The sequence below is a fragment of the Homo sapiens genome, chromosome 1 (assembly GCF_000001405.40).
Source record: "Homo sapiens chromosome 1, GRCh38.p14 Primary Assembly".
NCBI lineage: Eukaryota > Metazoa > Chordata > Mammalia > Primates > Hominidae > Homo > Homo sapiens.
The window spans coordinates 118,115,557-118,140,306 of NC_000001.11; the positions used below are offsets into that span (position 1 = coordinate 118,115,557).

Genomic DNA, 24,750 nt, shown 5'->3' on the forward strand with positions numbered 1-24,750 from the left:
TCATTGCTGGCTGAAAAAAAAAAGTTAGGGAAAAAAATGCCTCAATGCTACAGAGAGGGGCATTTACCCTCTACTTTAAATAAATTGGATTGTCTGAATATCGACTTCTTTTTCCAATAAGGCAGAGTGCTTCCCACGATGGTGTTAGACTCAGACTCCAGGAAAAGGGTAGAGAAAAGATAGGCTGGGCTCCATTTTAGGATGACTGATAGGGTGATTCATGCTACAGAAAGTCTATTGTTTGGCATAGCCAGTAGTCCAAACTGTCAAACTTTGACTTATTAGGATATTATAAATTAAACAGGGTTTTATAATAGTGGAAATGACTATGTTAGCAGTCTTTTATTTCTTTGTAACTAAATTCAAATGAAAGATAAAAGCTGTTTGACACAAAGGCGCCATATGAATGTTGCTCCCCCTTGCAACTTAATGTTGATCATGTTGGTATGCAGCCTAATTGGGGTGAAATAAGGTTATTGAGTTTTCTTTGGGTGACGACAGCCACTAGGAACATACAGCTGTATTGTCCAGATGTGTGGCACTGACAGCCTGTTTTATGACTGTGTTTTTTACAGCTTGTTTCCCCTAAATTTCACACAACGCTCTAACATCTGGGCCCTTTTCCTTGGAGCCCTATAACCACTTTATTTACTGCAAAAAAAATAAAATCACGTAAAATATACCATAAAAAGTTGTTATGTGTTTCTCTTTATTCATGTTGTCTCCCTAATAAAGTTCACCTCTGCCTGAAGCATTGTCACAGAAGTAATCTAGTTGAAGTATTTTTTGACTTTTGTTTTTAAGCAAGCATCATATTTATTTATAACCTTGGGATGAATTAGGTGTTACTAAAATGTTCTGACATGTTGCTTTTCTCCCCCCTTGGAGTAATCACTCCTGGGGCGCATATGGTGTCAATTTCAGGCCCTTGGTCTCAGACAATGACTGTGCACACTGCATCTCACGGAGCTGTGTCTTGTCTGAGCTCTTGGTCAGGACTTTCCTGACCAGTCCAGTTGCTTTTGACTTGTTACTTCGCCAAGGGAAATAGCCGGAAGAAAGGGAGGTACCTATTTTCTTCTAACTGCAGAAGGCTCTATGGATTACCATGTGCCAAAATGTAACTGGACCTCATAGAGATCACATTGGGGTTCCCGCATTGCATCACAGAAGGGGAAGGCCAGAGAAAGGATTCCTTTAAAGCTGCCTTTTCTAAAAACCAAAGGAACTAACCAAGTGTCAGAAATCTTTGCAAGTCAGAAATCCCTGCAAGGACTCTAGGAAATACAGTGCTTTGCTTTTTATGGCAGTTCTGCTCCTGCTAACACAATTTAGGGAAAGAGACATGATGGCTGTGATTTTTGGGAGCAGAAAAACATAGCAGTACACCTGCAGAACCTCACCATTTAATGATGACCAGATCCCACGTGGAAGGGGATCCTAAGGGGATGGAGGTCAGGCGTTTACTGTAAAGTGAAAGCTGTCTGACTGGGTCCAACCCCAAGAGTAGATGTCAATATTTGGTTTGCATTTTTCAATGCCAGCTAAATACTGTGCTGACAATCAGGCTCTGTGACATCTGATTCAAAACATTCAAATGTGGGTTTTTAAAGGTCATGGCAGTCTAGTGTTTCCCTCTAATACAAAGATAATGACAGCGCTGAAGGGAAGTCAACACTGAAAAGTGTTACCCCAGAGTGGTTGTGGAGTCTCTTTTCCTGACGACCTGTGAAAACAGGATATTCACCTATGTCTGGGGGGTTTGGGTGAAGCCTGCCTGGTGTCATGGCAATGGATGGGATGTCTCTGGAGGTGATTTCTCTAGGAGTCTATGAATGTTACCTCACTGTATTAAAATGTATTCAAAGCATAACAAAACATCCTGAGAGAAAAGTATTTTGCAGGTCATAATAGTTATTACTGGTTTGTCTAAAACTATCTGTGGGGTGTGGTTTCAAACAAAAATCTGGCACAGCATCAAAGTAACAGTGAGGTCCTGCCCTGACATGGGGAGACAGGAGATGAGGGGCTTCACCAGTTTGCCAGGCACACATGCTCTCATGACATACAGACACAGAGAGAGAGAGCAGTGGTGGACAGGCAGCCTTGAGGAGTGCCCTGGGTGGTGTCCTCCTCCCGAACTGCCCTGGGGCGGCCCACATGGAGGCAGACTTGATGCGCCACATCCTGCATAAAGGCACAGCCTGCCCCTGGCACCACTAGGAATGGCAGAGGCCAGGCATACTTGGCCTCCCCCAGGGTTGCTCTGAAAAGGCTTGACTCTCTAAATGCCACTTTCTTTCTGTGCGTCTCCCAAAGGGAATGATATTGTGAATTATTGGAATAATTAATGAAAATGAAAGTCTATGCTGAACTCAAAATCTGAGACAACATTTTCATGGTATATGGGTCATTCCCAAAAGAGGCGGAAAAAGAAAAATGTTTACAAATTAATTTCATTTCAAAATTCTTTCTTCTGATGTCCCATAATTAACAATTCTACCCTATCAGTAGCCAGTAGTTTGGTCTCAGATGAAAAACAAATCTTTCAGGAATCTGTTTGAAGGACAAGTTTTTGAGGGAAGAAAAAATTAAAGAGACAGAATTTAAAGGAAATGTACCTTTTCACATAACATCTCCAAAGGTTTCTCCTCCCTGGCCTTAGTTGTATTAATTAAAAGAATAAATCTCCAACATTCTAGCACTGTAAAGATAATTTGCCCATCATCTATGTCAAAATAAGTGTGCGTACCTGTGCATATGTGTGTGCACTGGGGGGTAAGCTAGCCAGGGCTATAGTTATAGGGGGGATGAGAGACATAAGAGAACATGTGAGCAGCGAGCTGGCAGTGCTTGGGGAGTAATTAGGCAAAAATTTAAGCTTCCAGAACTAGTCAGAAAAATAGTCCTGAATGGGTTAAAACCTTAGTTCTCTTTAAGCCAAAATGCCAAGTAAATGTGCTTGGCGTGAATCAGGAACTCAAAAAAGCACGAGTCTTAACGGGCAAATGAGACTTATTAAAATGGAGAAAAATGTTGCCAGGCAAGGCCTGTGTCTCCTGACCTCTTCAGGTCAGCTCTCCAGGCAGAGAGGCCTGCCAGGACCGGAGAGAGGCTCTACGCTGAAAGACCAAAGGTCACTCAGTTCCAGGAATGATTGGTGAATGAGGAAATTAAGCTTCAAAGAGTGCAGCTGAGGCAGAAGCCATGTTCATGTTGTATTGTGTGAAGATATTTAAGGGGTCTAGATGCTATTTTTCTGTTAGGGAGCTTGTAATTCTGTACACACTAAGAAATAAAAATATTTCCTTTATCATTGTCCTGGCTCAAAGAATTACATCATATTTACTATCTAATGATTTGATCCAACAAAAATATACCAAATGAGCCAAATTATTTCCTTGCCTGAGGATCAGGTCCACCTACAGACACCAGTGTCCTCTCTCCTTCTAAGCATTCCTCTTCTCTCTAGAACCTCCCTACATTAGTAAGCACAAGCCCAATGCTTAGAATTGCCCTAGGCGCTCTCATGGAAACCAAATATATGCATGCATGTATGTGTGTGTGCATACATATATACATATGCACATTTATACATATATGCATATATGTGCATATATAAGATAGAGAGAGAGAGATAGAATGGACTCCCATGAAGCCTGCTGTATGATTTCCCTTGTGTGTTGACAAGAAGTCATATGAAGCAGCTTGAATCATTGCTTAACCTGCTGCATATTCAATCTCGAGTGAATTCTGAGGTTGTGTAAAGATTTGGATCTGGATTTCTCTTGCTTGGAACAGGTTATGGGAGTGAGGTGGCAGAGGAAAGGGCAAGCTGTGGTTGTGTGAAGCAGAGAGAAGAGGGGTAGTAGAAGAGAGATGGCCTGGGAGAGCACTTTCCCTCCAGGAGCTCCAAATATCCACCAGTTTCCGACTAAAAGAATCCTTTGGCTTCAGGGACTTTCTTGGAGGCCCATGGTGTTTATTGCAGTAACTGTAAAAATTCACAACATATGACTTCATATTCAACCTATTTTGGGGAGGTGAATAACTTAGGATTGCTTTGGATATATGAAGACCTCAGCAAACAGAAGCAGAATCCATAAGCTAGAGCTTGACTCAATTTAGGCTAGCACAAGGCTGGGCAAACAGGCTTTCAGCACACATTCTTTTGGGTAGCTCATTTCTCTAATATATGATTGATCAAATTTACTTAAAGTAAGAGTATAATCGTTCTTTACCACAGTAAAAAATATACACACATATATGTATATTCAAACACAAATGGGATTATACTATTCATATTAAGTGCTTTGTGGTTTGTGTTTTTACATAAAAACACATCCAGGACAGCTTTCTGTGCTGATAAGTTTTGCTTACGTATATGGTTTTTAATAAATAGCATAGTCTTCTATTGTGTGGGTGTTTGCTCATTTATTTAACTAGCTCCCCATTGACAGACATTTAAACAATTTCAGTTTTCCTTTTTTTCTATGAAGTGCATGTGTGTTTTTGTTAGTAGCATTTTTGTTCCCACCAAAACTGTATGAAAGGGTCCGTTCCCCCACTTCCCATATAAACAATGAGTATTCTCCAACTTTTATTTGTTGATATTAGTGCTAATAGTTTTTCTGTGATGATGAAAATATTCTTTATCTGTAGTGTACAATATGGTAGCCACTAAACCACATGTGACTATTGAGTACTTTAATATTGCTAGTGAGATTAAAAAAAAACAAATTTTTAATTTTGTTTTTAATTGATTAAAATTAAAATTAAAGTGTAAATAGCCACAAGTGGCTAGTGGCTACTGTTTTGGTCAGAGAAGGTCTATATGATAGGGAAAAGTGAAATATAGTATTTCATTTAAAATAATATTCATTTAATCATCCTATCACTCTATCCCTCTTATTTTATGCCCAAACTGAAAGGAATGATACCTTTTCAGCACCATCCTTGGCAAATTTTATTAATGCAGGAGATGCTTACATACATGTATTGAATAACAATGGCGTACTCAGATTTATACAGTGCTAAAGGTGAGGAGTAAGGAAAATCTATGGCTTCCAAGCTAAGATATTGCTTGTGGCCACACAAGAAACTTGTCTTTGTTTGGATTTAGATAAACAGGGCTGGTATGGGGCAAGAATAGGAAGAATACAGAATTTGCTTCTGGCTCCTTTCTGTTACCTTTTAAAATCCCTCTGTTACACCCCTCCCACTTCTAGCTACCAGATACCTTTTTGCTTACTAAATCCTTCCTGCCATGAAAATAGAAAATATTTAACTTGGTAGCTCACTTTGAATAAAGTTTATTTATACCAGTGGTTTAGCTATATTTTGAGATTTTTATTTATTATAGAATGAAAGGAACTAGTGGCTGATGAAGTATTTTCGAGCAATAAGTAACAGGTGTGGCAGTTTAGAATTTAGGGGTAAGAGGTAATCTGGAAATTTGAAATGCCTGTCTGGCTCTGGGTAAACATAGTTTTGGCATTTGTGGTGCTTATAGGCCAGGGGTGAGAGCAGCACCCCTGGGCTTCCCTGCCTGGAGTTGCTGTTACATTCTAGGACTAGCTTATTCAGGGGAAAGGCTCTGAAGGGAAAATGGAACTTCCCCTCCAGCCAGGGTCAGAGGAGGATAAGCATCAGAGAGGGTGGGTGGAGGGCTGGAGCCAAACAAAGGGGAGGCAGCAATTCTGTATTGCGGGAGAGGAGTAAAGGCAAAAGAAATCTGCTCTGGCAAGTAAGATCTGGGACCTATCTATGCGTGCCTGTATAGGTGTGTGGGCATGTGGTGTGTGACTTTAGTGATATATATCAGGGGGTCCCATCCCCTGGTTAGGGCCAGTTCCTAATCTGTCCATGGCCTGTTAGGAACTGGGCCACATGGCAGGAGGTGAGTGGCAGGTGAGGGAGCATTACTGCCCGAGCTCTGCCTCCTGTCAGATCAGTGGTGATATTAGATTCTCATAGGAGTGTGGACCCTATTGTGAACTGTGTGTGAGGGATCTAGTTGTGTGCTCCTTATGAGAATCTAATGTCTGATGATCTGAAGTGGAGCAGTTTCATCATGAAATCATCCTGCTCCCCACTCTGTGAAAAAATTGTCTTCCACAAAACCAGCCCCTGGTGCCAAAAAGGTTGGGGATCACTGGTGTACATGAGTGCATGTCCATGTGTGCACAAAATATGTGTGTTTGCACAGCTGCCTTTGATGTTTATTCAGATTATTAAAATATACTCAATATCTAAAAACACTGTCAAAACTGATTTGCACATATTGAAGAGCTGATAAAAAGAGAAAAACATTATGAATATTTTTTATTGGCATTTTAAAAAGAATACTGATGACTATTTACCATTTCTATCTAATTATCCTGCAGCATACAAGGGGCTATGTTTATTATTAAATATGTCATATTAAATACATGCAATTTATTCATCATAGTAAGCTATGTTGCCATATATTCTATCTTTAAAGTTTATTGCTTAGGTAGCATGATATACATTCTGCTTTTATCTTACATCTTGTTATATTTGCTTATATCATTAGAAAGTCAGAGGAACTATTGCCCCAATGTGTGTCTGTGTGTCTGTGTGTGTGTGTGTGTGTGTGTGTGTTTACAGAATTTTCTGTTTAGAGTGAAAGGCTGTTTAGATGGGCCCGATTCTGCACATTTGATGAAAATGATGGAAGAGCAGATAATTTGCAAATGATTGAAAAGGGCCACTTGTATTGAGATGTTCTCACATAAGATTCCAATGGGGAACTTTAGCTCCTTTGGTACAAGATATGATTAATCAGTTGCGGAAGCCATAACTACATATGTGCAACTTAATGCAAAAGTACAGGCTCTATTTGCATTCCAGTCTTCCCACGTAACACTGCAGAGCCTCAGGCAAGTTACTTAACCCTTTTAAACCTCATCCTTTTAACATCTACAATGGTGGCACTATTGACATTTTGAGCCAGGTAATTACCATAGGAGGTTTTTCTGTGAGTTGTAGGATATTTAGCGAATCCCTGTATTCCACCGAGCTGTGACAATCAAAGGGATCTGCAGACATTGCCAAATGTTCCCTTGGGGGCAAAGTTGTCCCAACTGAGAACAGAAAGAACTACAGAAAGAGAATATGAGTAGTGCTGACTTCATAATTCAGTACCCAGAATTAAATGAGATGACCCATGTAAATACTTTGCATGGTGAATGACATATGCATGATAAATGTTCACTAAAGTCAGTACTTATGGTTATTCATACATCCAGGACAGAGTTGGGATTCTTGAAGATTCCACAGCCCAAGTTGTGAGAGCAGAGAATGGAATGGAATGAGGAGCAACTGGGCAGTGAGACAGTGACCTGAATTTATTATCAACTGGCCATAACCTGGCTACCCCTTTTATTTAACCCTTTGTCCAATCTGAAAAGGACAAATTGAGATATCTTTAGAGAGAAGCAGAGATAAAAAGAAAAGGTGTAAAAATGTATTTTATTTTGGTGCAGTGTATAATGGGGAGGATGTAGAGGAAAAAATATGCTATTAATTTCTTCTCAAATGTGAGATGGAGGAATTCCATCAATAGTGTTCTGTAATTTTACAGCCTCCTTTCCTGTTCCCTCTGCTCCCTTCCCTCCTTCATTCTTTCTGCATTTATTTAGGGCCAACTATATTGTAGTTATTGCATTACTTGATCCTGTATGTGTCTAGTCTATCCAATTCACATTCTTTAAGTAATGAGTAATTTCCAATGAGGCATAATTGGAAAAACAGCTGAAAGGATAAGGGTAGCAGTGAGAGGGGGCTATGGAGAGAAACAGAAAAAAAGAGAAGAAAAAGAACAGGAATGACTGAAACATATTTTCTCACTTTGAGAAGAGGAAAAGAAAATAAGCAATATTAAACTGTCTATACATAAATTTAAAGGTGACTGAAGATATAGGTTCCATATAGATCATACTGTCTGTCTAACGCAAATGGAACGTTATGAAAGTGCTCAGACCACAGCTTGGTGAGAAATTCATAATGATGATAAATATCTGTAGCAGGTGACTCCTAGATCATTTTCAGCTGTCCATAATTAAACTGGTATCCATCTCTCGACAATGTCAGGGCTGTAAAATAATTCCAGTCATTGGACCCCTTACATCTGTGCTGAAATGAAATAATATTTGGCAGTAACAAGGAGTCACTGAAACTAAATAAACAACCCCTTTCAAGACTACATAAAAGTTGGTAACATAATAACATTTGACAGGGATTAAGACCTCTTTGGGGCTGTAAGGAAGTTTCAGAAGCAGCAATAACAAATACATGGAAGGTAGAACAGATCTATGCTTTAACAGACATGTATAATTTAAAATGTAATGAATTTCCTACGGGAGGTGTACATTTTGAACAACCAATATGTGCATGTCAAAAAGCACAGGACTATTTTAGAAATGTTTGCTGGAATTACTCTTCAAAGAAGGAAAAAGCAAAGCTTCCTTTTTATTAAGGAGTGTTTTTGTTTTTGTATACTTGCAAAATGTATAAAGGCACATGAAGCTGAATGTGATAACGTATGGAAGAATGACATACCAAGTTAAGGGCTTTTCTTTAGGTGTGTATTAGCAACAAACGATTCTACTATCATGGCAATGTTTTGTTTTGGTTTTTAGACTAAGATCTTTTCCTTAGTCTAAGATGCTCCCACCCCTCTGAAGTCATTCTTGGTCCTTGCAGTTGTAGTGACCTTCCCTTCTGAACAACCCTACAACGTTTTTTGTATATTTCCTAAGGGATTTAGCTGTCTCTTGTATTAAAATTATTTGTGCACAGGGTTTGTCTCCTCTACTAGCTTGGAAGGTTAAATCCTTTCAGATTCATCTTTTGAAATCCCCTCACAGAATCTGATGCATATATAGACAAACAGTATATTCACTCCTTAAATAAACATAAGAATGGCATCTCTAGAGCTTTTTGTTGTTTGGCTTGAAGGTAAATGTTTTTGATTGTTTATAGCTGCAATTACAAAGCTTTAGGAATATATTTCAAGTAGTAGTAGGTGCTCAGACTGTGTAACACACAAATGGTTATGTAGCACACACCCTGTGCTGGACAAGGACCGTTCCAGGCACTTCACATATTCCAATCCATTTAATTTTCACCTACACTTTTGAGGTGAGTATTCCTATCACCTATTTTATTAGATACAGAAACTGAGGCCTGGTGATCACACAGCCGGTAATTAGTAGAGATGGGATTTGAACCCAGGCTATCTGGTTCCAGAATCCTGTTTCTAGTCAACATATTGTGTGGCCTCACAGTGGGCCTTTTCACCCCTTAGCTGGAGCTACTGGACTCCCATCTTGGGTCACGGTCCCTCTTCTCCTGGGCATGGATGTGTCCTAGTCCCTCCCCAGTCTCCATGGCCAATCCCCATCTTAGCTGCAAGAGCCTGAGAGCCTTTTAGCCCAGGTTTTTATGTTTAAATATTCTTGCTACCCTTACTAGTTTTGCTCCTACCTGATGCCTCAACTCTAAATAGCTGAGCTGTTTCTTTTTTCCTGAGACCTAGTGGGGACCTGTGACTCAGGACCCTCAGTCCTGATAGCTCCAGCTATTGCTCGTCTCCTGGCCTGAGCACATATCAATTTTTTAAAAAATTTGTATTATTTTTTATTGTATTCATATATATATATATATTTTTGACATATAATAATGGTAAATATTTACGGGATACAAAGTGATATTTTTACACATGTGTAGAGTGTGTAATGATTAAATCAGGGTAATTAGCATATCTATCACCTCAAACACTTATCATTTCTTTGTGTTAGGAACAATTCAAAATCTTCTTTTTTAGCTATTTGAACTACATACAAGTTATTAGACTATATTCACCTACAGTGCTATAGAACACTAGAATTTATTCCTCCTATCTAGTGGTAATTTTGTATCCATGAACCAACCTCTCCCTTTCTTCCCCTTTTTCCTCCCCTTCCCTGACTGTAATAATTGCGACTCCACTCTTTACATCTATAAGCTCACTTTTAGCTCCACATATGAGTAAGAACATGTGGTATTTATCTGTCTGTGTCTGACTTATTTCACTTAACATTAGATTGTTCAGGCTCATCCATGTTTTTGTAAATGACAGGATTTCATTCTTTATTATGGCAGAATACTATTCCATTTTGTATAAATAACACATTTTCTTTATCCATTCATCTGTTGACAGACACAGATTGATTCCATATCTTGGCTACTGTGAATAGTGCTGCAGTAAACAGGAGGGTACAGATATTTCTTTAATATACTGGTTTCTTTTCCTTTGGATAAATACCTAATAGGGGAATGGTGGATCATATAGTAGTTCTATTTTTAGTTTTTTTGAGAAATCTCCATACTGTTTTTCATAATGGCTGCACTAAAAACCTTTCCCACCAACAGTCTATGAGTTCCTTTTTCTTAGCATCCTCACCAGCCTCTGTTATTTTCTGTTTTTTTTTTTTTTTGATAATAGCCATTCTAACGGGTGAAATCATATCTCATTATGGTTTTGATTTGTATTTCCCTGATTAGTGATGTTGAACATTTTTCATCTAGCTGTTGCCACTTACATGTTCTCTTTTGAGAAATGTCTACTCAGATCCTTTATCCTTTTTTTTTTTTTTTTTTTTGAGACAGAGTCTCGCTCTGTTGCCCAGGCTGGAGTGCAGTGGCGCGATCTCGGCTCACTGCAAGCTCCACCTCCTGGGTTCATGCCATTCTCCTGCTTTAGTCTCCCGAGTAGCTGGAACTACAGGCGCCCGCCACTACACCCAGCTAATTTTTTTGTATTTTTTTTTTTTAGTAGAGACGGGGTTTCACCGTGTTAGCCAGGATGGTCTCGATATCCTGACCTTGTGATCTGCCTGTCTCAGCCTCCCAAAGTGCTGGGATTACAGGTGTGAGCCACCGCGCCCGGCCTCCTTTATCCATTTTTTAATTAGATTTTCTTGCTGTTAAGTTTTTGAGTTCCTTATATATTCTGAATATTAGTCCTTTGTCAGATGAATAATTTGCAAATATTGTCTCCCATTCTATAGGTTGTCTCTTCACTCTGTTGATTGTTTCCTTCGTTGTGCAGAAGCTTCTTAGTTTGATGTAATCCCATTTATCTATTTTTACTTTATTTTTGCCTGTGCTTTTGAAGTCTTATGCATAAAAATCTTTGCTTATATCAATGTCCTAAAGTATTTCTCCAATGTTTTCTTCTACTAGTTTTATAGTTTTAGATCTTACATTTAAGTCTTTAATCCATTTTGAGTTGGTTTTTGTGTATGGTGAGAGAAAGAGGTCTACTTTCATTCTTCTGCATATGGATATCCAGTTTCCCAGCACCATTTATTGAAGAAGTTTCCTTTCCCTATTGTATGTTCTTGGCACTTTTGTCAAAAATCAGTTGACTGTAACTATGGATTTATTTCTGGGTTCTCTATTCTGTTCCATTGGTCTGTGTATCTCTTTTAATACCAGTACCATGCTATTTTGGTGACAGTAGCTTTGGGATACATTTTGAAGTCAGGTAGTATGAAGCCTCCACTTTGTTCTTTTTGCTTAGTATCGCTTTAGAGAATTTGGGGTCTTTTGTGATTCCATATTAATTTTAGGATTTTTTTTTCTATTTCTGTGTATTAGGCCTTTCTTGCACTGCCCTAAAGAAATACCTGAGGCTGGATTATTTATAAAGAGAAGAGGTTTAATTGACTGACAGTTCTGTAGGCTGTACAGGAAGTAGGGTGCTGGCATCTGCGCAGCTTCTAGGGAGGCCTCAGGAAACTCACAGTCAACTGTGGGAGTAGACACTTCACATGGTGAAGGCAGGAGCAAGATGGGAGTGTGGGGAGGTGCCACACACTTTTAAACCACCCGATCTCATGTGAACTCAGAGCAAGAGCTCACTTATCTCTAAGGGGATAGCCCAAGCCATTCATGAGGAATTCAACCCCATGATCCAAACACCTCTCACCAGGCCCTGCCTCCAACAGTGGGGGTTATATTTCAACATGATATTTGGGTAGGGACAAATATCTAAACTATCTCGTTCTGAAGAATGTCATTTGTATTTTGGTAGAGATTGCATTGAATATGTAGACTGCTTTGGGTAGTATGGTCATTTTGACAAGATTCATTCTTCCAATCCATGAACAAAGGATATCTTTTCTTTTTTGTGTGTCTTCTACAGTTCCTTTCACAGTGTTTTGTAGTATCCATTGTAATGATAGTTCATCTTCTTGGTTAAATTGATTCCTAGGTGGCTGGGCACAGTGGCTCATGCCTATAATCCTAGCACTTTGGGAGGCCAAGGTGGGTGGATCATGAGGTCAAGAGACTGCGACAATCCTGGCCAACATGGTGAAACCCTGTCTCTACTAAAAATACAAAAATTAGCTGGGCATGGTGGCGTATGCCTGTAGTCTAACCTACTTGGGAGGCTGACGCAGGAGAATCGCTTGAATCCCGGAGGCGGATGTTGCAGTGGGCCAAGACCGCACCGCTGCACTCCAGCCTGGCGACACAGCAAGATTCCATTTCAAAAAGAAAAAAAAAAAAAGATTCCTAGGCATTTTACTTTATTTTTGTGCAGCTGTTGCAAATGGGATTGCTTTTTTGATTTTTCAGCTAGTTTGTTATTGGTGTATAGAAAAGCTGATTTTTGTATGTTGATTTTATATCCACCTTTACCAAATTTATTAGTTCTAAAAGTTTTTTGTGAAGTCTTTAGGTTTTTCTATGTATAAAATCGTGTCGACTGCAAAGAGGGACAACTTGGTTTCCCATTTTCCAATTTTGATACCCTTTATTTCTTTCTTTTACTTGATTGCTCTGGCTAGGACTTCCAGTACTATGTTGAATAGAAGTGGTGAGAGTGGGCATCCTTATCTTGTTCCAGTTCTTAGAGGAAAGGCTTTCAGTATTTCCCTGCTTCGTAGAAATGACTCAGGCTGGCAGCCACCTCCATTTTCTACCTTCCTTCTCTTTAAATCTTAAATCATTTTCCTAAAAATCCTGCTTTCAGTCTGAGACTAGTGATTGAGACCCTACTAGTTACTGACTGACTCATGCTGCCTGCTTAGCTATCTGAATATGGCTGGTCCCTGAACTTCCTGCACCCCAACACTGGAGCACTAGATGTGTTAATTTAGCCTTTGGTTTGGATACCATGTTCCACTTCTCAGACTAGAGGTTGCTGATTGCTCCTCCATCATGTCACCTTCCTTCATAGGAGAATCTGACTTTTTTTCAGGCATTGCCCTCTCTCTCATTCAGCTCATGTGACTCAGGGGAAACACAGCTCCATGGGTGGGCCCCTTCACACTAAAAATAATCCTAACCCCCCTTGTCCATGATTGGTTCAAGAGGTGCATGTGATTTTGTTCAGGCCAGTAGAATGAGGCATGGTTTTCTGGGGCTGCTTGATCTGGTTTCCTTGGTCATGACAAAGCTCTGGGAAGAGTCTTAAGGGATGAGATTGCTGCAGCCACTTTACCTTCTTCGGGAAGCTGAAGCTCCTACACAGATGAAGGAAGGGGTAAGAGCACAGCAGGGAAGTGGGCTGGAGCCCCTGAACTAAGCTGACCTTGAAGCCTGCCTGGACTTCTACGTCTGCATGCCAGTACATTTCCTAATTGTTTAAGCCAACTTTAATTTTTGTTGTTGTTAACTTAGAAGATGAACAAATTGATACTGATATGGAGAGATTTATGCCTTCTAATTAATAGAATTTTAAAAATTAACCAGACAATACTAAGATGTGTTTCCCAGACTAGCAGCATCAGTATCACCTGACAATTTGTTAGAAACGTAACTCTTGGGCTCCAACGCAGACCTGCTGAATCTGAAACTCTGGGGGTAGGGCCAGCAGTGTTTGCTTTTAACAAGACCTCAGGTGATTCTGATATACGCTAGATTTGAGAACCATTGTTTTGTACCTGGTTTCTTATGTGGCCTTTCATAATAATGTATTTAGCCCACATATTGTCAGTTTCACCCTTGCCCTTGCTAACTCTCAGTTATGCATTTATATTTCCTTAATTTCTTTCTCCTCCTCCTCCCCCTGCCCATCCTCCTTCTCTTCCTTCTTCTTTCTCTACCTTCTTCTTCTTCCTCTTCCCTTCTTTCTTTCTTTTCTTTCTTTCCCTTTCTTTTCTTTCCTTCTTTGTTTTTTTCTTTTTCTTTCTTTCCTTCTTCTTCTTCCTCCTCTTCTTTGTCTTCTTCTTCTCCCTCTTCCTCCTCCTCCTCTTCCTCTTCTTCTTCCATTTAGACTTACTAAGCTGCCCCTTTCAGAGGACAGCCTGGAGTCCTGGAGTGGGATTTCTGCTAATGTCCTGCTAGACAAAGAATGTATTCAGTGTATCAGCCCTGTCTTCATTTACCCTAAGTTCTTGGTTTCTCCACAATTATCAAAAAGTTGTAGTGTTTCTCCAGCTTGATGTGGATGATGTTCTAGGCTGTTGTTAATTTCTAAGTATTAATCTGAATGAAATCTGCTTATAAAAGGGCTTATTCCTTGAATTTCCTTGTCCTCCCCCTTAATCTCTTTGACTTGTTAGTTAGCTCTAGGAGGCATACAGGGTATGTCTCCTGGCTGACTACTGGGAAAGCCCTTAATGAGCAGATGGATGCTGCATAGTTTCCCATAGGACAGTTTTCCTCCAGTGTATGCTGTGTGCCACCTACCCCAGAACCTCTGGGAACCTAGTTAAAGATATGGGTTACCTGGGATCTACCCCACAACTATTAAATCAATCTCTGGAATTGATTTGGGCCTAGTAGTATGACATTTTAATAAGCTTTCTAGGGATTCCTAAGTACTTTTGAGTTTAAGAATTATGCAAAGGTCATTTACATATTGACACTGGGGTGACCAACTCTGGGGTTTTCCAGGGATTGAACTTTCAGTGCTAAAACTGGGATAGTCCCTGGCACCCAGGACAGCTGGCCACCCTGAGACAGCAAGTTCAAGGGGAGCCATCTCAAGACTGCGGTAGAATGGCATTAGTTAACTCCATCCCCAACCCCACTTTCCCCAGTCCTTCCAGTTCATCCACTGATGACCTTCCCAGAGCCTCATGTTCACCCCAGTTTCTGAGCCAATCTTATCAGAAGCAACAAAGACATTAATTCCCCCACCAGGAGGCCATGTCCAACATGGTTATTCATCTCTTATTCAGGATCCAATAACCTAATGATAAATATTTTAGTATACTGTGGATTATTGAGTGCATATTCTATGCTAGACACCGTACTACAAACATTATTTCATGGGGTTCAGAGACCAAGATTCTTTCCCAAGAACACAGGGGTTAAATAGTGGTGGTACTAATCTTTAGATACAGCACCATGTTTTTAGAATCTGCTCTTCCAGCCAATGTGATGTCTGCTTCTCTTTTGTGTACCTTTTTCTAACTTCTGGAACTGACTAGTCTTTTCTCTAGTGGACTCCTATCATGGACTCAAACCACAATGAGCTATGAGGTGTGAGCCAGATCACAGTTTAGACACTTCCTTAGGATATAGATTCCTTAGGATTAGACTCTGAACCCAGCACTCATACTGCCTGGTTGAGGTTCCTTTCAAAATTCTTTTTGTGGCTTCAGATTAGTTCCTACATGGACTGGCCACATCTCTTGTTGCTTTCATTTTCTATCACTCCATTTCAGCTCCACTCCCTTCTTGATGTTCACCAAATGTGCCTCAGAGCCTTTGCTTTTGCAGTTTCCCCTGCTCGGGAGGCTCTTCCCCAGATGACCACATAGCTCCATCCCCTCCTTCAGATTTTTATTCAAGTGTCACCATCCAGTTTTGCTCCCCTGGCTACTCAGATTAGTAACTCTTCTACTTCTCACCCTTTCCTCCCTTTTGCTCTGTAGTTCTTATTACCATCTAACATAATACATACTTTATTTATCTCTTCCATTACTTCCTCTCCCCAATTAAAAAGTAAGTCCTGCCAGGATATTGGCTTTTATCTACTATTTTTCGTTGATCTAAATTCAAAGCCTGGAGCATAGTAGATGATTAGATAATTTTTGAATGAAATCAGATGGCCATTGTGTACCATGTTTTATGCTGTTTAACTGCAAATTTCACCACTACCTAGAGCTTTTCCTATTGTGAGTCCCCCATGCTTGGATTTTCTGGTTGGCCTGGATCAAATCTGAGGTAACTGTGGTCCCCTGAAGGGTGCACTGTTGATGTTGTTCATCCTTACTCAGAGGATTTTCTATAGCTGGACTCTTCCTGTGGTGCAACCTGGTGATGTCCTCTTTTCATGAACTGTTGAGATGGAGCCATTCTTGGTTATGGATTAACTTGGCCCACACTTTAAGGATTCCCCTTGCCATTAATTCATCAAACTTTTACAGAGCACCCATTATATTCCCAATGCTGGATATTCAAAGACAAAAGAAGCAGGCCCTGCCCATAGTGAGCTTTTCGTGGAGTTGGGGAGATCATCTACAAGGCACATGGAGCATTCAGGACAGTATCGCATGCTGTGCCCAGCAGTGGAGGTAAGCGAGGGTGCTGTGGTGGCCCCAGAGGGTGCCTTCTCCACACTGGGAGAGTCAGCAAAGGCTCCCTGCAGGTGTCACTCCTGAGTTGAAATGTGAAGGATCAGTGGGGGTGGCTATGACTGAGGTCAGGTGGTATGAGACTGGGGAAGAGTGACGAGAGGAGAGCAGTGACCCAGGAAGAAGGACTGAGGCCAGAGAAAGGCAGTGACCCAGGAAGAAGGACTGAGGCCAGAGAAAGTAGCATATTCAGGAAACTGGAAAGTGGCTGTGGGTGCCGGGTTGGGCTGGGGGATGAGGTTGATACTGGAGGGAGGTAACCAAGGGTGACACGATCAGATATATAATCTCTTTATGAATTTAGGCATTTTATTTATCTTCATATGAGCAAAACCCCAGGCTTTATTAGATATTTTGGTAACCCATGGCAAACTTCAAAATCTTTCTGTATTTCAGAGCTTCCACTATGTATCTTCCCCCTCTAGCTTTGTGTAATGGTAAACTACACCTAGTACTGGAAGCATGCATGTTTAGCAGAAGTATTTTAATTTAGCAGAAGTATTCTAATTTAGACAGAGGCTGTAAGACAAAGACATTAGGTACCTCTGGGCATGCAGGCAGTGCCATCCTTGCCTTGCAAAGCAGGGGAATAGGCAAAGCGTGAACATTTTCTTTTCTTTTCTTTTCTTTTAGATGGAATCTTGCTCTGTTGCCAGGCTGGAGTGCAGTGGTGCAATCTCAGCTCACTGCAACCTCTGCCTCCTGGGTTCAAGCAATTCTCCTGCCTCAGCCTCCTGAGTAGCTGGGACTACAGGTGCGTGCCACCATACCCAGCTATTTTTTTGTATTTTTAGTAGAGATAGGGTTTCACTATGTTGGCCAGGATGGTCTCGATCTCTTGCCGTCGTGATCTGCCCACCTCAGCCTCCCAAAGTGCTGTGATTACAGGTGTGAGCCACCATGCCCAGCCAGCATGAACATTTTCTAACCCTTCGCTGACCACTGTGAGTTGGGCAGAGCTCCAACAGATTGGAGAATGTGAATATCCTGAAGGCATGAATATCCTCCAGCAACTAGAACAGTGGCCAGCACAAGTGCTCAAAAATGAAGGAAAGACTGAATGAATGCATGATGGGCAATGGAAATTGATAAGCAGTGCCACAGTCCAGTTCTGGGTGGGTCGCGAGGGGGCCCAGAGTGCAGATGGAGAGAGAGTTTATCGTTGAGGAGGGCAATCCCCCTTCTGGCACTGTGAGCGGCAAGTGGACGTAAGTGTGGCTGCCCTTGGAGAAGGGCAGGCTCAGAAGTACCTAGGTGCTTTTTCAGAAGGTATGTTCCTGGATTCTCCTGAAGATACTCCTAATCCCCATCATGGTGGCTAAGATCTGGAATTGGCATTTTAAACAAACTCTTTAGGTGATTTTTGAGGCATGCCACTGGTACAAGGAGGCAAGAAGAGGTTGGAAATTAGATGGTCTCATGCCAAAGAGGTTCCTGCATCAACCCCCTCAGACTTCCTCATCTGGGATCACTCTCCCTGCTCCCATTGCCACAGCCCTTGTTCATATTTCCCTTGAGGCACCTCCTGCAGCTGAGCCTTTGTTAGAAGTTTTGCCTGCATGTCCTTCTTCTGAAGGATGCTGTGAGCTTGTGCAGGGCCCGGACGATGGCTTATCCTTTTTGTATTATTCACAGCACCTAATATCTGTTGTGAAATTACTTAAAGGAAATATTCCCTAGCCTGAATTTTGACAATACAGAGTCCCTCCCATTATCTCAAGGAGTCTGAAAACAAAATTACACCATCATTTCACTTTAAAGAATTCCATACTCACAAAACACAGCCAATCAAAATATGATTAAATGTTCAACCTTATAATTTTTGCTTGTCAAATTGACTAGAATAAAAATAAAAGGTTGAAGAGGGCATGGATAAATTGGAACTATCAGAAGGACTGTAAATTCATACAAATTGTCTTGAATGCACTTTGGCAAGATATGTCAAGAGCTTTAAAAAGAATTATATGCTTTGACCCAGTAATTCTACTTTATGAAATTTTCATAAGGAAACAATCAGGGTCATTGCTATTGGTAAACAGTCTAAATTTAGCAAAAGGGGGAGTGGTTAAATAAATTAGTGAATAGAAAAACATGCTTTTTATTATATATACACTGAATAAGGATTTAGAAAAATGCTAACATCACAGTATGTGGAAATGATATGATATAGAGCATATATAATATAATTCCTATTTTATAACAAGAAGTATACATCTCTGAGTGGTGGAATATTTTCCTTACTTAAGTACCTACCTAATATATGAGGTATGCTTTCTCTATATTTTCCAAATTTTCTGCAGTTAACATGCATTGCTATAATAATAAAACAGCTAATAAAATATATGTACAATTTAAATGCATCCAGCAATGAACTGCTTTTAACAGTGCCACCCCTCCAACTTCCCATGGAATTATTCCCGTACTGTGGTTCTAACATCTTTGCCTAGCATATTACTCCCCTGCTCAGAATTCCTCAATGGCCCCCCATACCTAAAGGATAAACCATACACTCCTTAGCAAGGCATACTAGGGCCCTTTATGATTTGTCCTTGAGCCACCTGTCCAGACTAACTCCTGGCTACTCCTTCCAATTTCCCTCCTTATACACATCAGAGATACCATCTAGAGTTCCTTGGTCATACCTTGCTGTCTGTCTGCCTGACTTTGCATGGCCTGATTCCTTTGCCTAGAATTCCTCTCCTCCTTCATGACTTCTTCATTCAGCTTTCAAGCCATTTTCCTAAAATTTGACTCTCAAAACTTTAAAAAGATTTAAGCATTGCTCGGTGCACTCATTGCACCTTTTAAAATGTGATACAACTGTTCATTTCCCTATCTGTTTTTCATAAGACTGGAAGCTGTTTGAAGGCTGGAATTAACTTTGTGATTGGCACATGGAAGGCCACCAGTAAAATATGTGCTGAATAAAAGAATTAGCACACAAATTACCCAGATCTTTGCAAATGCTGTGTGGGTTATGCTTTGTATTATAAACGGGACCCCTGTGATCAGCAGGTGGTGGCGGACATCCAGCCAGCCCTCCTCTCACCAAACCAGGCTTGCTGAAAGGCCAGGAAAGCAAGCAGTGCTAGTTCACTAGTTCAGAAAAAAGTGTCTGGTGTCATGGGAAGTGCTATGAACTTACTGTGCCAGAACCAAAGGAGGAATGAGCTGGAGATACTACAAAACTGTGGTTTATCAGCTCAAGCAATGTGTGTGTGTGTGTGTGTGTGTGTGTGTGTGTGTGTGTATGTGTGTGTGTGTGTGTGTGGGGTATGGTGTGTTCAATTATGGAGCAAAGCACATCTGTTTTGATAAAGAAATCCTAGGCTTCGCAGTCACTTCAGGTCCTAACCCCACTCTCAAAATCACCCCTAGGTTCTAAGTGTTTCTGGAGAATATCTTAAGTTAATTTCTGACCATTCACATTTTTATTTTCCCTGACTTGGTTTACTGTTGTATTTGACAAGTTTGTGAAAAGTGGTCAGTATTCTAAATGTGAGATGTTTTCTGCATGGGGAATGCTATGAGTAAACTTGTAAAACCTCACGCAAATTTCTGAGGCCAAATGTGTGTGAGCAGAGTCTTTGGCACAGTGCAACTGGAAATTTTAAGACAATGGGAAACACTTTCTTACTACTACTACTGGAAAAAGCTTCCAGGTCTCGCTCTTTAGTTTAGACAGATAGCTTTAAGCAGGTTAAAGTTAATTGTCAGCTCCTTGACTGCAGGGATTGTGTCCTGAAGAGCTTGAAGGAAGAGAGCAAACTTTGGATTTGGAGTCAGAATGACTGGGTTCCATTGCGAGGTACTGTCATTAATAACTGCAGGCACTGGGCAAGTCACTTAACCTCTTTGAGGCTCTTTCCTCATTTTCTACATGAGCATAGTAAGCCTTAAATCTGCCATACAAGGTTGTTGGTGGGATCAAAATTTGACATACTGTGAAAGTATTTTGGACTCTAAAAACCATCTTCCAAATGTGTGTTATTTATCATTCTTAAATTCTTTTTAGGGGTTCCAGCAAAGAGCATTGCCTGTTTGAGAAAATGTCATGTTCCAGAAAATATTGATTCAAAAAAGACTGATGGACCATCTGAATGAATATGGAAGAAGTTTAATTTTAACAAATGCACTCGTGGTATGCAGAAATTGCTTCCAGTGACTTGCATCATTACTCTTAGCCTTAGACTTTGCTAACCGCTTCCTCACTCTCCCCGAATGCATGTACATCCCCTCAGGATCCAGCTTTTATCTCTGATAAATAAATGCATACTGAAAGGATAACGAATATAATGGGTTAACATTCTAAAAATGCAGTTTCATTTCATTTAAACCATGGTTTTATGGACACTGTGCCTGAATTCAACAGGCGGGTGTGGGGGCTATTTTTGGACAGGCAGAACTTCCAGCACCTCTTAAATCACATCACACGGCAACTGCCTTCTCCACCTACACACAGGGCGGGCCTGCATGCATAAAACAGGATGCTGGCCCAGGGTGAAACGGAGAAACTCTTTTCCCCATCTGATGACTAATACTTGTCTCTGCTTTCAGAAAGGGAAAGCACCACATACAAACCTCACCAATGCATTTTCCTTTGCTTGTTTTAAAGAAAGGGGTAAAGTGTGTGTGTGTGTATGTGTGTGTGTGTGTGTGTGTGTGTGTGTGTTTTTAATGATGGAGGAATCATGAAATGAACCTCCATAGGAAAGCCCTGACAATGTTCTGTGGATGCTTTTGCATAGGGAATTGAAACAAGTTGGCAGGAAGAAGAATTCTTTCTGCATAACTCAAAGCAGACATTTTACTGGGGGAAAGAGCAAATCAGAAATTTGCTGTCATTCCTCAAAATCTCATTAGTTACGAAATGTAATATATTAGGCCTTTGCATTAAATCCAGATAGAGCCTGTATCTTTTTTTCCCTCAATGATATTCCTAAAATGGATCTTTGAGCATGCAACAAGAGTAGCTCTTCACAAAAGATGTAGGTCTTGGCAGTGGTGGCCTGTGACTATGTGACATGTTATTAGACTGTTCTGGCTTCTCTGCAACTCCAGGGATAAATGAAACAATAATAATTCAAAATAATGAAAATAATTTGGTGATTCATTTGATAATGAGGATAATCTCTAACTAAGGATTGCCTGATGAATGAGTAAGCCCAGATAGAATGTCTTTCCATATGAATTTCTGATAAAGGCTCATGAGGACAATGATAAGCTTGTTAGTGTAAGAGTGTTTCATGGGTACCAGGTACTATGCAGGGCATCCTGTTGGCCTAGCTCACCATTAGAGTTCTGCAGATTTCAAATGGTATGAGCACTGTGATCCAAATATGTATGAAGTTAAAATATAAACTTTTAAAGGAAGGCATTTATTGAACAATTTCAGTTTTTCTGAGTAAGAGTTTGTGTAGGATTTGTTTCCTGTGTTTCAAACTACTAAATCCGTAATTATTTTTAAAGTATTTATTGAAGCAATATAGAAATCATATTTCAATTACCTTGCAGAGTGATTTTTTTGGCCAATCATGTTTGTGAAATAGAAGAGTAAATTATTTTAATGTATAAATATATCTGAAATTCATTCATTCAAATTAATATTGAGTGCCTATAATATGCACAGTACCTTTTCAATATATAAATGAATTTCTATCCAATAGTCAATCCTCCCAGCCTATACCCATGTTTACTTTGGTATTTCTTCTTCCTTTTCTTGCAGCTGAAGATGGAGGAGAAAGAATTTCAGAAATAGAGGTCACATTAAAAACATGCAGAAGCATGAAAATTGTTACCATATTTCAATTGCAACTGTATTTTCTCCCCCTCTAAGGAAACAAGGCCTTCTGTATTTTTGTTGCATCTTTGACTATTTGGGTAAGTGTTCTGTCTCTCCCTCCTTCTCCTTTCCAATATACTCTGTCTGGGGATCATGACCCTTTTGGCTGGAAGTTGTGAACAATAAGTGAGGTCAGCCACAGAGCTCAATGAAGAACAGACTCAATTATAACCACGGCTTAAATATACAGCTTTTATATCTGGCTTCTTATGATAAAATGTCACAAAATAATAGGAAACAAATACGTTGTTTGCAAAATTATTGACTATGCGCTCTTGAGGGCAGAGACCATGTCTAACTCAATCTTGTGCCCATTACCCAGCAGATAATAGAAACCCAGCAAATGTCTGCTGGGTGAGGAAAGACTGGGGATGAGTGAACACTGTATCATTTAGCCCAGGATTAAGTGAGAGGCTGAGAGAGGAAATGTAATAGAGAATAGGTTTCAAGGTTTCTAAGGCAGTGTTTTTTCAAAAATGTTGACCTATATTTATAGAAGAAAAATTATTTACATCACAAACCACACATATACACACATATACACACATATACACACATGCTAGTTGAAACCAACCAAATTTCTTTGTGAACCACTGGGATGCCACCCACATATACAAACCATTGTAGAAAATGTGGAACCAATAAAGGGAAAATGGAAAGGACCAAAATTGCTGGTACCCAGGAAAGCACCAGCAATTACTACTGAATTACTACCGTTAAAATGGCTCATTATTTACTTCTTATAGTCTTTAATGGTATTTTGTTATTAGTTCTTAGTAAGTTAATTCTTTCAGACAACAAACGCTTCTACAATACTTACTATGTATCAGCACTGAGTTAGGCACATAAGGATACAAAAAATGAAAAATACACTAAAAATATCTTTCTTCCTGATATCTCTTCTTAGATACCCCTCAGACATATGTGACTTAAACTATCTCAAACTATACTTTCAGACTTCCCCCAAATTTAGACTTCCTTTAATTTTCTCTGTAATAGAAGATATTTTTAATATTTGTAAGCCATATATTTGATAGGGGTTACTATCCAAAATATATAAAAGGCCCAGACAACTCAATAACAAGAAAACAAAAAAGTCAATTAAAAAATGGACAAGAAAAAAAATTTAAAAAAAATGGGCAAGAGACCTGGGGTGGATAGACATTTCTCAAAAGAAGACATGCAGATAGACAACAGATATATGAACAATGCTCAACATTGCTAATTATTAGGGAAATGCAAATTAAAACCATAATGTGGTATCATCTCACACCTGTCAGATAATTTTTTTCAAAAAGATGAAAGATAACAAGTGTCAGCCAGGATGTGGAGAAAAGGGAACCCTTGTACATTATTGGCAAGAATATAAGTTACGACAGCCCATTATGGAAAACACTATGGAGGGTCCTCAAAAAACTGTAAATAGAATTACTATATGATCCAGCAATCTCACTTCTGGGTATTTACCCAAAAGATTTGAAATCAACTTGTTAAAGAGGTGTCTGCACCTCCATGTTCATTGTAGTACTATTCACAATAGCCAAGGTATGGAATCAATCTAAGCGTTCATCAACATATGGATAGATAAAGAAATATGGTATATACATTAAATGGAATACTATTCAGCCTTAAAAAAGAAGGAAACTCTCATTTGTGATGGAATCAGAAAACATTATGCTAAGTGAAATGAGTTGGGCATATAAAGACAAATATTGCATGCACTCACATGGGGAATCTAAAAATCAAACTCATAGAAGCAGAAAGTAGAATGGTGGTTACAGAGACTGGGGGGTGGGGGGAATGGAAAGATGATGGTTGCTATTGTTTGAATGTCTCCTCCAAAACTCATGCTGAAACTTAATCCCCATTGTGGCAGTATGATAGGTGGGACCTTTAAGAAGTGACCAGATAGGGCTTTGCATTCATGGATTACTGGGTTAATAGATTAATAGATGATCACAGGAGGGGAACTTGTAGCTTTATAAAAAGAGGAGGAGGGACCTGAGCTGGCATATTAGCATATTCGCCCCCTTGCCGTGTGATTTCCTGTGCTACCTCAGGACTCCGCATGGAGTCGCACCAGGAAGAAGGCTCCCACCAGATGGGTGCCCTTGACCTGAGACTTCTCAGCCTCCTTAACTATAAAAAATAAATTCCTTTTCTTTATAAATTACCCAATTTCAGGTATTGTTATAAGCAACAGAATACAGACTAAGACAATAGTCAAAAGGTAGAAAATCTCAGTTTAAAAGGAAAAATACATTTTTTCTTTTTTTAAATTTGCACAGTGTAGTGACTATAGTT

The 24,750-nt window shown here is 39.8% G+C and overlaps 1 protein-coding gene across 7 annotated transcripts in view; it reads right to left on the minus strand.

Moving 5' to 3' along the window:
- Nucleotides 1-24,750, minus strand: part of SPAG17 (sperm associated antigen 17) — a 231,639-nt gene that overhangs the window by 161,967 nt on the left and 44,922 nt on the right. The gene's annotated exons all lie outside the window — the stretch shown is intronic.